At 36.6% G+C, this 16,628-nt stretch overlaps 1 protein-coding gene across 35 annotated transcripts in view; it reads right to left on the bottom strand.

Annotated features, from left to right (window-relative positions):
- The window catches only part of CCDC171 (coiled-coil domain containing 171), a 556,042-nt gene that overhangs the window by 380,282 nt on the left and 159,132 nt on the right, over positions 1-16,628 (bottom strand). For 34 of the 35 annotated variants that reach the window (XR_007061261.1, XR_001746227.3, XR_001746228.3 and 31 more), the window contains 4 exons: positions 6,770-6,876; positions 4,899-4,988; positions 3,669-3,869; positions 609-776 (listed from right to left, as the gene is read on the bottom strand). Coding sequence is in view for 30 of the 35 variants with exons in the window: in XM_047422930.1 (XP_047278886.1) it covers positions 609-776; positions 3,669-3,869; positions 4,899-4,988; positions 6,770-6,876 (566 nt within the window). In the remaining 5 variants the exon portion in view is untranslated. The remainder of the gene's footprint in view (positions 1-608; positions 777-3,668; positions 3,870-4,898; positions 4,989-6,769; positions 6,877-16,628) is intronic. The other variant, NM_173550.4, reaches the window with a different exon arrangement.

Raw genomic sequence — 16,628 nt, 5'->3', positions numbered from 1 at the left:
GAGACTGATTTCCTAGACTTGTGAGATAGTAATGTTACCATAAAGGTCTACTATATTCTCCTATAAAATACACTTTTTGCAGTCTAAAGCATGGAGTGAGTTTTCTAATATACATTTTGTTGTATTTCGAGAAGCAAATCATAAGCATATAATTTAAAATGTTTAAGCTTTTAAAAATAACACCTTATATTTCCTAAGCAAAGAATTTTAAGATCATGTTTTTGAATAACTATATCCTGCTTCTATTTTATGCTAACATAAAGAGTTGGTTTATTAATGTAAATGACTAAGGTCTTTGAATTGCTTCATCAGTAAGATTAATTTATTTTCTTTTAATTAGGTCCCTGTGGCTAATACTGGCTAGTAGTATTAGCATGTCCTGCACAGAAAGTGGAGCTTAGAGACTTCATACAGACTTCAGTCACATTTACATGCCCACAGCAATGGCATCAAACTGAGTTGTAGACAAGCCATAATTAATGGTATTGAATTATTAACATCCAAATTCTTTTTGAAATAAGATGAATGTCAGCCCCTCTTAATGATACTGTGATGTGGACAAATGTCACTGAATTTAATAGAGGTATCTGGTGCCTGAGGACAGTTACCTTCTCATTAGCCCTGTTGAGGTCTGCAATCAGGGCATCAACATTCTCCTGTAAGACTGCACAAAGCTCAGACCAAGAGAATTTATCCAGCATGCCTTCTGGTTGTTTTATGAGCACACAGCCTGCTACCAAGTGCTGATATAAGGTGTGAAGGAAGGTTAGCTTCTCCTGCAGGAAAAAAAAAAGAAAAATTAATTGCTGTATATAAACATTGTAAGAAGTAAAATACATAATACTAATGGTGAAGAGTTAATTTAAAAAACCTGAAAAGGAATTACAATACTCAAGTCTCAGAATATTTTAATGACTTTTTTTATAATCAAAACTAAGCACCAGATAAAACATTTGGAATTGCTTACACTTGGTATTCAAAATCGAAATCTGAAGTCTGGAAGCCAGAAGACCAAGATTCATCTCCACCTCTGCTACTGATGGAGGTTGTGATTTGAGTAAACACCTGCTCAGGCTTAAGTTTCCTTAGCTATCACACGAAGCATATGGATTGGACTCATTGTTTATAAGCCTATCTAACTGTAACTCAGTACAGTAATTCTATAATTTAATAGTTACATTTGCCAAAATAGATACTACTTGTCAAAAAACAATACAGAAAAAAAGTGTTATTCAACTCTGATGAAAAAAAGTTATACCAATATCTGTACTTTACATGGACACAATTACTCAGCTTTCTTCTTCCTCCAGAGAATCCAGTTTACTTACTACTTATAGGAAATCTATCCCAAGCCCCTTAGGCAAAGCAGATAGTGATATGAAAGATATGGAAGATGGGCTCATTTGTTTTCCCCACTTATAAGTTCATATAGTATTTGGCACACTGGGCATTTGTAGGTGTTTAAATATTATAAAGTAACAGCAAAAAAAAATGGATATAGCTGCTCATTACATACTTTCGAAAATGTCCAATTAGAAATATGTTTTTAAAAGTCCTTTAAAATTATATTACCACTTCAGTAATTAAACTATCCATTGCTGAATGACTTAGAAACACTTACTATGCTGCAGAATTCATATAAAGCAGATCACATTTGAACACATGAGGAGGGTTTACTTACTATAATGTCAAATAGCTCTCTTTATAAGGTGTTTCATCTGTAAAGTCCCAAAGCATGGAACTCTAAGACAAGGTAATTGTAAAGCTGCAAAATGAATATTTTTATTTTATCTAGATAAAATAAGTTCCCTCAAGATTTTTTAATAGATCAGCAGGAAGAAAACTTTTAAAAGAGACAAACTTAAAAAGAAAAATTTAGAAAGTCTATTATAGATTTTTAAAAAACTGAATATAGCATATGTAAAAGTTTTATAATTAGAAATTATAGAGAACATTTTCTTACAAATATCAAAATATAAATCTTTAGTTCACTATGTATGCCACCTTTTTTCCAAATGTAATAATTTAAAAATCAAAAAATTTGAAAATGTAGTTACAACAACAAATTTAAGAAATCAGATTTTTTTCACAAATATGCTATACCTTTTCATAAGCAGTTAATGATGACTTTTGCATTATTTAACTAGGTCAAAATGTTTTAAAGTCTTATTAAATATAACTTAACAAATACATAAAAATCTTCCTCCTGTGTTTTGCCTACTGATCACGTTTGTTCTCAAGGAAGTTCATCCTCAAGGATAATTCATTGTGTCGCTATTATGTCCTTTTTGCTTGGGCTGTGATAAACCAAGCATGATAATCATCCATTTGGCATGAAAAGAGACTCCAAAATCCAAAATCAATTCACACATGTTGAACCCAACCACAGCGCTGTAGACATGCTGACTTTACAATATAGTCAGGCTTCTAGTTTCCTTTACTTTAATCATTATCTGATGTGTAGAGCAATTCCAACCCCTTCATGTGGACACAATTTAAATCCCAGACTGTAAAAAGAGTGGAAAGAATGTTTCCTTTTTACTCTCTTGGCATTCATGTTCATATTTGTTGGAGTAATGAACTCAATATGCAGGATGACTTAGATAAACCAGTTCCACTAGCTAGACTAGCTCTATAACCCATAGGGTAAAAAGAACTAGAAGATAATTCCATTCACAGAGGCTTAAACAAAATATGAAATTTGTGTCATAATATTTTTATAAGTCATTAATAAACATAAATGGGTAGGCAACTCTCCAGGGTTTCTAAATGAAAAGTTTTAATTTTATGGGACTCTTATTTTTCTAAATTTTTATTAACATCCTATAATTATACAGAGTTAGGAGGCTATCTCTTAAAGTAGATATTATTACTGTTTTACAAATAAGGAAACTAGGCCAGGCACAGTGGCTCAGGCCTGTAATCCCAGTACTTTAGGAGGCCAAGGTGGGCAGATCACCTGAGGTCAGGAGTTCGAGACCAGCCTGGCTAACATGGTGAAACCCCATCTCTACTAAAAATACAAAAATTAGCCAGGCATGGTGGTGGACACCTGTAATCCCAGCTACTCAGGAGGCTGGGGCAGGAGAATCGCTTGAACCTGGGAGGTGGAGGTTGCAATGAGCCCAGATCGCACCACTGCACTCCAGCCTAGGCAACAGAGCAAGACTTTGTCTCAAAAAAGAAAAAAAATAAATAAGGAAACGAAGATGTGGAGAGGCTAAGCTATATAGCTTGTCCACAGCCACATCATTTATAAACAGAAGTATTAGCATCCAAGTTCAGGTCTATCTGATTATAAAATATTTATTCTTTCCACCATCAATCTACCAAGCTACTGAAATAAAAATAATTTTGTCATTGGCAAACAGGAACCTTGAAAGGACTGTTAGGAGCATAGTTACTTGAGTTACAATATTCTAAAAGTCCAAAAAGATAGTTGTACACATGATAAACAAAAAAAATTAGTTGTGCAAGTTATAGTACTTCTCTCACAAAAGAGAATGACACAAGAGTAATGGAGTGATTTTGTAGCTGTCACAAACATTTCAAAATACTCTGCTCAGAACAATTTTCTTAATTAAATACAAGTAAAAATAGTCACTTGATGTATAACACTGAGATTAGTGAAAGGCCCTTCCTGACAGTCATTGAGTCTCAGGTAATACCTCTGCATCCTTATGGAAAGCCTGGGAAAGCTTCTGCAGTTCACTTTCAGACTGGGCTGCCTGAGCCTTTTCTTTCTCCCAACAGTGCAGCACATTTTGTAGTTCCACTTTTAAAGTGCTTATTAAAGCCTCTCGGTCTGCACATTTAGTGTGTAAATGACTTAACTCTTTATTAACATCAGCCAGTTTATCCTGAAGTTCCTGTCATAGATACCAAATAAAGAGATTGTAGAAAGGCCAGCCAACAAGGGGTGAGGGGACACTAGTATAAAACACATATTGAACATTTTCAAAGCTTTAAAATGAAAGAATCACAAAGGCAGGCAAGCATTTGTTTACATTAAAATATTTTACTGAATGTATTTTCTAAATATAATATCTCAGCTCAAAAATTAGAACATTTGTTATGTTTAAACATTTACATAAAATGTTAATATGATGGCTTATTCCAAAAAGTTCTTCCAAGGGAGTTTCCTTTCAACCTATTTTTTTAAAACAACGTTGTAGTTCAAAAATTTTAAAATATTTTAAAATAAATATCTTACATTTAACATAAGAACATTTACTTTCCAATGACATCCCAACCACTTATAGAAATCTCAAATATGTGGCACAAAATTTTGCTGAACTGTTTATTCCTTAAACCTAACAAATTCTTTTGAAGTGTGTCCAGGACAAACCCAACATGAAACAACATAATGAAATTCCAGCAATACTGGGAAACTTCTGAGAGTTGACTCAGCATAATTTTGCAAAGATGTAGTACATAAAACCAGCACAGAAACTAAAATAAACTATAGTCCTGGGCCTTAGCCAGGTGTGGTCTCAGCCCATTAACAGACATGATGTACTGAAAACAATGGCTCCACCTTAAAATGATGAAAACTGACTCCAAATATGATGTGCTTATGTAAAATATGTTTAGTACGTACCTAAGGCTGGACATTTCATCTTAAATAATTATTTGAATCTCATAAGGTATTATAATTAAATCTGGGAAATAAATTTTCCTTTAACCAAAATAATTTCCAATCAGGTTTTAATTTTTTAAATGAAAAAAACATTCTTGTTACTCTTAATCAACAAGAAAAAATTAAAATTCTACCCATACATACTTTAAAAAATAGAAATACATATTTTCAGGTACCTCAATATCTCTACTTTAAAATATTCCCTAGATAACTATATTTGTTTCTTAATACAAAAGGTAAAAGTTATTCTAAATAATACCTTTATATTTTTAGTGTGAGAGTCTATCTTCTGTTTCGTAGAATCAAGTTCATTACATGCCTTTTCCTTAACATCATTCATGCTGTTTAGCTGATGAAAGAAAATATAAGTAACTTTTTTACATTTTTCAAGGATGGGTAACTCAAAAGTTAATCTTTAAGTGCTTTTTATGCAATTACTTAAATACAAATTTTTCAATAGTAATTAAGAGTCTTTAAAAAATTATTTCTTTTGGTTAAATGCTATATAGCTTCTGTCACAAGTTCATGTGGCTAAAAAGAAAAGAAAGCATTCAAGCTTAAAATATCACTTATGTTACTATATTTTTACCACACGTCCAGATAAAGGATTTCATTCTTATTGTAAACAAATACAACTTTATTCTTAAAATCCTACTGGACCAAAATGCCAGAAGCAGGGGCATCTATAAGTAAATAAAAAAGAACAGAGCAGAAGACTGTTCTTTCTATACATCATGAGGATATTCACTGGTCTCTCACTCCATATGACAACTTCAGGGTCGGTCACATGCAGTCCTACTGGGAAGGCTTGTGGCAGGTCATCAGTTGGTCCTGCACCGCTTGTGATTTATTTTCTTTGACAGTTCATTCTTCTTTCTGTCAGACTGCTCTTTTTGCTTTCTTTGCAGCCACCCCCTTGGTCTCCCCACTGCTGTCTCTGGCACTGGTTCACAACAAAGCGCATTACTAAGCCAAAGCCTGCTGAGTCGACTTTTCAACTGTGCTGAGGATCATGTGACATTCATCCTCCCAAATAACAATTCGCTGTGGGTAATATGTTCCTAGTTACCCTGCAGCTTCCAGACCTAGGCCTCAGAAGAGTTTCATAAACTACTAACAATACAGGTTGTCTTGTCTCACTGGGAAAGACTTCGTAATATTTGTTCCTCATAGAAATTTAATTATTTCGATGGTCATTTTCTTTTATGCCTTTTGAACAATTACCGAGGGTATTAAAAAGACTCACTTTTCCTTCTTTGTTCATCTTAGCAAGCTAAAATAAAATAAGCCGCATATGAAATGTGAAATGTAACCGTTTTATGGCATTTATATTATATGAAAGAAAGAGATACACACAAGGATAAACTCCAAATTCCATGCTATGTGACTTGTCTTTGACTCTAACAATCTGTTTGTTGCTTTGCTAACTAATTGTATTTAATGTAATTACTTCATATGCTAATTTGACAAGATGTAACTAGACAAACTCTTCAATTCTTAAAGCACAAATTCATAAAACATTTTAATACCCAAGAAAATTATCAACCCACACATTAAACAATACAAATGGGATGATAAATAGAAGCATGAGCTTTTTCAATCAGCAAACTAAAAGCTCCCAGGCTACATCAAACAGATATTTGTTTTTTAAAAACTTCTAACAACACTTTACTGCCTTTAGAGAATGAAAACTAATTTCTCTCTTTTTTATTAAGACTTCCACAGTTTGTAGAAATCTTAACCTAAAACACTGACAAAATCTAAATTTCCAGTAGCTATACCAAATGTCATAAAAACACACTGACATTTAAATACAGTACATATTAACTTAAACTACTTGCATAGTGTTTTTCATTAAGTTAAAACAGATAAATTATGAAGATCAAGAAGTGATAGAGTCTTTATAACTTTGAAAATAATAGTGTGACTGAAGAGTTACAAAAACGTAAGTGAGACATGACTTTAGGCCACACTTAAAGAAAGAACAGCGAAAGATAATTTATTATTTTTTGTATCTGTGAAGCTGTCAGTTCAACATTCCCAATCTTTTTGACCTTTGTAACAAGCAAGGAATACGTACTGGTACAGGCCGAAGGCTATATGTGTGGAGCCAAACAGTGCAAGTGTTACCTCATTAGATGCATCTTCCAGCTTGTTCTGGTAATCTGTCAAGGTACGCCTCAATCTCTCAAGGACAACAGAGAAGCTGGGAGGTTTATCTTTGTCCTTGTGGATGCCTAGAGAAAAATATAGGATGAAAATATACCCTTAAAGTCACAAAGGGACAAAACTTAGGCAAATAGTAACAGAGATACTACAATTAGGTAGAGCTGAAAAGACGTTATGAAACTATTAATACTTGGCCATACAGCAGTATACTTGGAGAATAAAATTCTTGAATAGAATTTTATTCTCCAAGTATACTGCTGTATGGCCAAGTATTAATAGTCTTTCTAAACAAGCGGCCAAATTAAAGTTCATAATATATCAAATTTAAATTTATGACTACTTTCTACCTTATCAAGACCCACATGGTAGTGAGTTTTGTTTTTGTTTTTGTTTTCATGTCTCCTAAGTAACGGCAGTGTTTGTACATACCTTTTATCCAACAACTAAATGAAGTATACATTACCATTGTTTGGGGGAGTTATGTACACTTACTGTGGTCCTTGTGTTTCTGACTAGTCAGGCCTTTTATACTGCACTATTTTGCTTAAATAATAATTTCTGAACCCAAGAGTATATAATTTTCTGTTATACTTGGAAATATTCTTCAATCCTTAAAATTCTCAAGTTACAATTTGAAATAAACAATAAAAATGCTATTATCTACATAGCCTACATCATGTTTCAATTAAAACCCTTAAAACTGATACTCATGGTAAAAATATGAGCATTTCCATGTTATGCCCTCAAACTACTTTAATTTAGTTGGGCCATAAATTATGTTAGTTGAGCTAATAAAGGTCACATGATCAAACGTAGCTCCAAGTATTAATCCAAAAAGTTGAATTTCAAAAACTAAATTGATTGTTGATTCAAACTATCACAAGGACAAAAAACCAAACACTGCATGTTCTCACTCATAGGTGGGAATTGAACAATGAGAACACTTGACACAGGAAAGAGAACATCACACACTGGGGCCTGTTGTGGGGTGGGTGGAGGGAGGAGGGATAGCATTAGGAGATATACCTAATGTAAATGACGAGTTAATGGGTGCAGCACACCAACATGGCACATGCATACACACGGAACAAACCTGCACATTGTGCACATGTACCCTAGAACTTAAAGTACAATAAAAAATATACTAAAAAAATTGATTGTTGATTGCACTATTCTTTAAGTGTTAAAAAGCAAGTAGCAAATTCAGTTTTTAAATATTCACATTGAAAATATTTTTCTTTTCTTGTTATTTCTTCTCATCATATTTTATAATATAAATATTTCAATATACACGAAACGGATTTTCAACAAAGCTAAATTTTAAGAGCAGCATTCATATTATACGTCCTACTATTCATTCATTCAACTAATTTACTGAATTCCTACTACATACTAATCTTAGGCATTATGCATACAAAGATAAACAAGAAAGGTATAGCCTCTGTCTTTATAGAATTTAAGGTTTAATAAGAGAAAGATAGTAGATAAAAAATTATATGACATCATTTATCCATTCTTCAAATATTCTATTATTAGAACTTATGGAGAAGTGGGGGAAGGCAGTAATAAAGAAGGAAGAAAGGGGAAAAATTCTTAGTTAATGATAGAGCAACTTTACTCAGCTCAGAGTATGGTGATATCTCATGTTTAAATCTTGGAGAAAATGTTATTAATATATTTATGACATTTATCAAGGTATAATTTAAGCACCAACTTATATATGGGTACAACTTGGTTTTTCTTTAACAGAAGAGGAACATTTAACTTAAAAACCAAAAGTAATGTGGAAACAACACATATGACAGCTAGGAAAAGAAATACACTCTTCTGAGCCATGATAATAGAGGAGACAGTACTCTTCGTAATGACTATGAGTTGGAAAGACAACTCATTAAAAATTTTATTAAAGGTCTTATCAAATATATATTTTTAAACTCCTCTCTTGCACAAGATGAAAAAAAAAGTAATGTATAATTCTTTTCTTTTGCTACTACACAAGTAGACCATGAATAAATCATTCAAGGACACTCGGGAAATCTGCATTTTTACAATAAGGGAGAAAACTTCCTCTTAGAAATTCAGAAGAATAAAATCATCTTAATATGAGTGCTGAAGAGTAATGGGACAAAATGCCCTCTCCTTACTGACCTATGAACATTCTTATATTCTAAATAAAATAAAGTTTTATTTCCTGAAAATGTTTATATAATAAAGTTTAGTTGAAGTACAAAGTAAGCTTTATGTCTGCTATGGCTAAATTATTAAATGCCTTGAGGGAGTCTTCTTTGGGTTAAATCTGCTTGGTGTTCTATAACCTTCTTGTACTTGAATAATGATATATTTCTCTAGCTTTGGAAAGTCCCCTATTATTATCCATTTGAATAAACTTTCTCTCTCTCTCTCTCTCTCTCTCTCTCTCTTTCCCCCGCCCCGCCCCCCACCCCCCCGCCAGCCTTGAAGGCCAATAACTCTTAGATTTCCCCTTTTGAGACTATTTTCTAAATCCTGTAGGAGTGCTTCATTCTTTTTTATTCTGTTTTCTTTTGTCTCCTCTGACTGTGTATTTTCGAATACCTGTCTTCAAGCTCACTAATTCTTTCTTTTGCTTAATCAATTCTACTGTTAAGAGACTTTGACACATTCTTCATTGTCAACTGCATTTTTCAACTACAGAATTTCTGCTTGATTCTTTTTATTTCAGTCTCTTTGTTAAATTTATCTGATAGGATTTTGAATTACTTCTCTGTGTTATATTAAATTTCTTTAAATTTCCTCAAAACAGTTCTTTTGAATTCTCTATCTGAAAGGTCATATATCTCTGTATCTCCAGGGTTGGTTTCTGGTCCCTTATTTAGTTTGTTTGCTGAAGTCATGTTTTCTGGGATGGTTTTGATGCTTGCGGATGTTCTTCAGTGTCTGGGCATTGACGAGTTAGTTATTTATTTTAGTCTATGCAGTCTGGACTTATTAGTACCTGTCCTTCCCGAGAAGGCTTTCCCAGTATTTAAACGTCTTTAGGTGTTGTGATCTAAGTTTTTGGCCACTGCAGCTATATCTGCATTAGGGGGCACCCCAAGCCCAGTAACACTGTGGCTCCTGCAGACTCACAGAGGCACCACCTTTGTGGTCTTGATAAAATTCAGAGGAATTCTCTAGATTACTACATAGAGACTCTTGTTGCCTTCTCTTACTTTCTCCCAAACAGAGTCTCTCTGTGCTGAGCTAAAACTGGGGGAGAAGTGACACAAGCACCCCTGTGGCCACCACCAGTAGGACTGCACTAGGTCAAACCTGAAGCCAGCACAGCACTGAGTATCACCCAAGACCTGCTGTAACCATTAACTGGCGACTGCCTATGTTTGCTCAAGGCCCTAGGGCTCTACAATAAGCAGGTAGTGAAGCCAGCCAGGATTGTGTCCTTCTCCTCAAGATGGCAAGCTCCCCCAGGTCCTGGGAAGATCCAGAGATGCTGTCCAGAAGCCAAGGCCTGGTGTTGGAAACCTTAGGAATCTACCTGGTACTCTATTCTACTGAGGCTGAACTGGCACAAGACAAAGTCCTTCCCACTCTTCCCTCCCATTTCCATAGCAGAGGAGTCTCTCCCCCTGGCCACCACTGCCACAGGCCCACCAGGAGTACTTCCAGGCTACTGCCAAGGCTCACTCAAGGTCCAAGAGCTCTTCAGTCAGCTTGTGGTGAATGCTGCCAGGTCTGGGAATCATCCTTCAGGGCAGCAGACTCCCCTTTGGCCAAGGGCAGGTCCAGAAATGCCATCGAAGAGCCAAGGCCTGGAATCAAGGACCCCAAGAACCCACTTGGTGCTCTACCACCCTGTGGCCAAGCTAACTTAGCTGCAAGACAAAGTCCCCTTTATTCTTCTCTCTGCTGTTCTCAAGCAGAAATAATCTCTTGCCGTAGCCACTACAGCTGTGAATGTTCTGGGCCACACTTCAAACCAGCAGATCTCAGATTCTCACCAAAGGTCCGTGTGTACTACACGGGTATTGCTGCTGATTATTCAGGCCCCAGGGGCTCTTTAGTCAGTAGGTGATGAATCCTGCCAGGATTGGGTCCTTCACTTCAAGGCAGTAGATTCCCTTCTGGCCAAGGGTGTGTCTAGAAATGTCATCTGGGAGCTAAGGCCTGGAATGAGTGTCTCAGGACTCTGCCTTGTACTCTATCCTTCTGTGGCTAAGCTGGTATCCAAGTTGCAAGAAAAGGTTCTCTTTACTCTTCCCTCACCTCTTAAGCAGAAAGAAGGGGTCTCTTTCAGAGCTGTGAGCTGTGCTGCCTGAATCTGGAGGTGGGGTACTGCAAGCACTCCCTTTGCTGCCCCCGCTGGTGTCTCACTAGGTCACATACCCTCTAAGTCCACTGGCTCCGAGCCCAGCACAGCACTAGGACTTGCCTAGGAGTTGCAGTCCTTGTGGCCTAGATTGTCTTTCAAGTTTATTTAGGACCCTGAGCACTTTAGTCCACAGTGGCAAGGCTTGTCAGAGCTCAAATTCCAAATGCTAGGATGGACAATTCCCCTCTGGCTAGGACTAGTCTAAATGTTCCCTCCGTGAGCACTGGCTTATTCTCAGTGTTGCTTTCCACTGTGACAGGGCATCACTGAGCTTCAATGCAAAGTCCCACAATCACTGTGCTCTCCCTTCCCCAAGTGCACAGATTCCCCCCACCACATAGCCGCTGCTGGGGCATGGAAGAGTGGTGGTGTCAGCAATTCAAGACTGTCTTTCAACCCTCTTCAATGCCTCTTTCAGTGATATGAAGTTTAAAACAGGTACTGTGACTGCTCATCTGATTTTTGGTTCTTATGAAGGTGGTTTTTTTTGCCTACGTAACTGTTAAATTTGGTATTCCTGTGGGGGTGATGATCACTGGAGGCTTCTATTCAGCCATCTTGCTCAGCCTCCAGCTGCTATGATTTGAATATGTCCTCCAAAGTTCACGTGTTGGAAACTTAATCCCCAATGCAGTGTTGAGAAGTGGAATCTTTGAGAGGTTACTGGGTTATGAGGGCTTTACTCTCATGAATGAATTAATGTCATCACAGGAATGGGTTTATTATCTTAGAAGTAGGTTTGTTATAAAAGTCAGTTCTCCCCAACTCTTGCTCTCTCTTGCCCTTTCATCTTCTACCATGAGATGATGTAGCATAAGGGCCCTCACCAGATGTTGGCCCCTCAATCTTGGATTTCCCAGCCTCCAGAACTGTAAGAAATAAATCTCCTTTCTTTATTAATTACCCAGTCTCAGGCATTCTGTTATAGCAGCACAAAAGGAACTAAGACAATATCCCACCCAAATTTATTATAAAAAAGAAACACTTACTGGTCCCTTAACCTGACAAAATGCTTACAAATAAAAAAAAAAGGGTCACCCTAAACCGAGGACCTTATTGAGTGATTTGACTTAACCTAATAATCTTTTAATCACTGCAGTATGGCCCGAAAAACAATGAACTATAAAAGCTATCCTATCAAAGAAAGGTTTAAAAACTCACAAAGAGTAGCAAAAAAGATCTGAACAGTGATCATAATTAGCTTTTCAAAAGTGAAATTCCAAATGAAGAATAGAATATATCAGGAACACTTTATACTTGAATAACATCAACTCAAAATCCTGAGCTTCTCTCTCCCTCTGTCTATACTTGTGCTTAATATAAGGTATCTAAAGTGGTCAAATTCATAGAAAAAAAGTAGAATGGAGGTTACCAGGGACAAGGGGGAAGGAGAAAAGGGGATGTGATGGTGAATTTTTTGTCAACCTGACTGGGTCACTGGGTGCCCAAATATGTGGGTTACTTTCACTCACCATACCCTGTTTCGATCTCTCCCTCTCACTTTTAAGTAGGTTTCAACTCTGGCTGTACTTTGGCAAATCTTTTCTTGAATTAGTAGCCCACAGGAGGAGGTGGAGTAGAAAAAAGGTTCCAAGCCCTCTATTTACACGTTTCCTTTTAGACAATCTCAAAAACTAAATAATTTTTCATAACTCATATAAATCATTGTTTTTCAAGCTGACATCATTATTTCAGTAATCCATAGTTCTACAGAAAAAAACAGTAACTTTTCATGAATGGAGTCTATCTTCTCCATCTTCTTAACCACCTTGTTACCTACTTCATTTTTCTACAAGATCCCAAGAAGGGAGAATTAGTAAGAAATAATGGAGGGAGAATACAGACAAAAGACAGAGCTTTTTTTATACAGCTATCAATATAGGATATGAGTAGTCACGTTCATGTTTTGAACTGAACTCTGTTGTTTAGTGTTGATTTTTTATCTTGTAGTAGAAAACAGGAAATAATGTTCAAATGAGTTTTGTTTTCACCTGATAAAATCCAAACATTTAATATATAATGTATTGATAACTAAGAAAATTCTGTTTTCATTTTAAAAGCACTAATACAAACATTTTATTGGCAGTTAGACTTTTTTTGAACTCAGACCACAACACTGTATATTGTCTTAATCACTAAGTTTATAAATAAACATCTTTCATTATCTTGCAAACATTAGTGCCTATTCTAGAGTGTTTAGGAAAAATGGTTCATAACTTTTCTAACATATGGAAAGTATTTATTATGTAAGTCCTTCTCACTCTCTAACTACGTCTCTTGGGAGAATTCAAAAAACACTTCCTTTACCAAAGCTTGAGAAATATATTAGTAACGGAAGTCCCTGCTTCGTTGATGAGTTCTGTGTAGCTTGATAAGCTCCATGTGGCTAGAAGGCAAAGATTAACAGCAAACACTGGTGCCATCAAAATGGGTTCCCTGAATTTAGTGCAAGTGATTGGATCTTGGGTAACAAGAGACCAAATGGTAGCAATTAACTTCCAGAGACAAAGTGGACATGTTTAACATAATGGGTAGTGGAGTCAAAGCAATAAACAAAATGGTTTGACCTACAGAGATCACTGACATTGGCTAACTGATCATGGTGTTCCTAGAACCAAAATAAATGGGCAGCATAGTTAAGTCTCATTTGGTTTGCATAAGTAGAAAAGTCCTAGCTCTGATTACCACAAGCAGGACTTAAGTAAACAAAAAAGGAAGAATTAGTCCTCAAATACTTCTCAGACTTGAGCTAATTCACAGACCTAGGGACCTGTGAATAAAGACGATGGGTCTCTGTTAGCAATCCTGACATAGTGCCAAAAAATACCGTAAATCTTCCTCCTAACCTTCCTCAAAGAAACATGCAACCATCTAACAGGGTAACTGTACCGGGGGGAGGAATTAACTACACTTATCAGGGATAACTGGACACTGGATCTGAACTGCCATTAATTCAGGGAGACATAAAATGTGCTACTGTGGTTTCTGTAGTCAGGGTAGGAGCTTACAGAGGTCAGGTAATTAACTGAGTTTTAGCTGAGGCCTCTCTCTAGTCGGTCCAGTAGGTACCTGAACCCACCCCATAGTTATTCTCCGAGTTTGGAACACATATTTAGAAAGGACAGATGCAGCAACTGGCACAGTGTCCACAGTGGTTACCTGACCTATAGAGTGAGGGATATTACAGAGGAAAATCAAGTGGAAAAGCCAAGAGGAAATCACTGGAACTTTTACCTACCAAAACACAAATTGAAAGTAATGCCACACTCCTGGCAAGACTGTAGAGATTACTGCCTTTTAAAGGATTGAAAGATAAAGGCATGGTGATTCCTACCACATCAGCATTCAACTCACCTAACTCAGCCGCTGCAGAATACAGATGGATCTTACAGAATGACAGTGAATTAATCAATATGACTCCAATTGCTGCTGCAATTAAATATGCAGTTTCATTGTGAAACAAATCAACACATTTTCTGGCAATTGGAATGAAGCTATTCATTCTACCCCCTTAGTAAAGACCACCAAAACCAGTTTTTTTCATCTAGCAGGACCAGCAATGTACCTTTGTTGCCGCCCTACCACAGAGCTATATCAACTCTGGCTCTCTATCACAATCTAGTATGTAGAAATCTTAATCAACTCTCCATTACCAAAGATCTCACATGCTCCACTTCATTCTCTACTAAATTGATGGCATCATTCTGAATGCACCTGATGAACAGAAAGTAGCAACTACTCAAATTCAAGATGTATATAGCATTTCACAGGTCCTTATGAGTGGATCATAGTGTAAACTTTTAGGAGTTAGAAGCAAAGTAAGTCATCCACTACAGATAACTATTCTCCTTTTGAAAATGGGCTTTGGACTTGCTACTGGTCCTCAGCAGATACTGAATACATGGCCAACAATTCACCATGTGACTAGAGGGTGCCCATCATGAAACGGTTACTGTGTGATCCACCAATCCATAAATTTTGGCATACACAAGAGCACTCTATCATCAAATGAAAGTGGCATAAAAGTCCCGAAGGCACAAATAAGTTGTATGAGCAAGTAGTCCAGATTCCCATGGGCCCTATTCCTGTTACATTGCTTTCTCTCTCTTAACCCACACCTTGGATGCATGGAGAGTTCTCTATGACCAGCTCACAAATAGAAAAAAAAAAAAATGGGCTTGGTTTATAGATGGTTCTGTATGTTATGGTGACATGATTCAAAAATAGGCAGCTGCAGCAGCACTACAGCCCCACTCAAGGCTGGCTCGGGAGAACAGTGGTAAAAAGAATCCTTCCAGTAAGCAGAACGTCAAGTAGTGGATGTGACTATCATTCTTCCTAGAATGAGAGAAGACCAAATATACAAATATACACCAATTCATGTGTGGTGTCTAACTGTTTGGCTGAATGGTTAGGTACTTGGAAAGAATGTGAATAGAAAATTGGTAACAAGGTTGTCTGGGGAAGAATATGTGGACAGACTTCTTCAAATGGGCACTGTGCCCAGATCAACTTCAGTAGACAAGGATCTTAATAATCAGGAGGGCAAAATGAAGTATTCTATGGATATCAACCAATGTTTTTTCCTAGCCATCTTTGTCTTTACAAAATTGAACAAAAGAGTCATAGCAGCAAGGACAGAGGTAATACACAGGCTCAGCAATATGAACTTCCATTCACCAAGGCTGATTGGGTTACAACTCCTGTTGAGTGCCAAATTCACCAATAGCAAAAACAAACACTGAGACCATGATATGACACCATCCTCTGGGAGGATGAGATAGCAACTTGGTGGCAGGTTGATCACACTGAGTAACTTTCATCATGGAATGGGCAATGCTTTATTCTTACTAAGATAGACACTTACTCTGAATACGGATTTTCCTTCCCTAACCATAACGTTTCTGACCAAACTACCATCCATGTGTACACAAAATACTTTAATTCACCATCATGTATTCCAAATGGCATTGCTTCTGATCAGAGAATGCATTTTACAGCAAATGAAGTGTGGAAATAAGATTGTTTCCATAGGATTCACTGGTCTTACTATGTTTCTCATCACAAAAACACAAACACTGTATGATTCCACTTAATATAAGGTATCTAAAGTGGTCAAATTCATAGAAAAGAAAGTAGAATGGAGGTTACCAGGGACAAGGAGGAAGGAGAAAAGGGGATGTGATGGTGAATTTTTTATCAGCCTGACTGGGTCATTGGGTGCCCAAATATGTGGTTAAACACTATTTCTGGGTATGTCTGCAAGGGAGATTAACATCTGAATTGGCAGATTGCCCTCCCTAACTTGAGTGGGCTTCATCCAATCTGTTGAAGGTCTGAAGAGAATAAAACCCTGAGTAAGAAAGAATGCTTTCTCTCTGCCTTGCTGTCTTTGGGCTGCAACATCAATCTTCTCTTGCTTTCAGGCTCAGACTCCTGCCAGAGCTTACATCATCAGCTCTCCCAGTTCTC

This window comes from Homo sapiens, chromosome 9, assembly GCF_000001405.40.
Source record: "Homo sapiens chromosome 9, GRCh38.p14 Primary Assembly".
NCBI lineage: Eukaryota > Metazoa > Chordata > Mammalia > Primates > Hominidae > Homo > Homo sapiens.
Note: the sequence above shows the minus strand (reverse complement) of the source record. Positions and strands in the feature narration are given on the sequence as shown.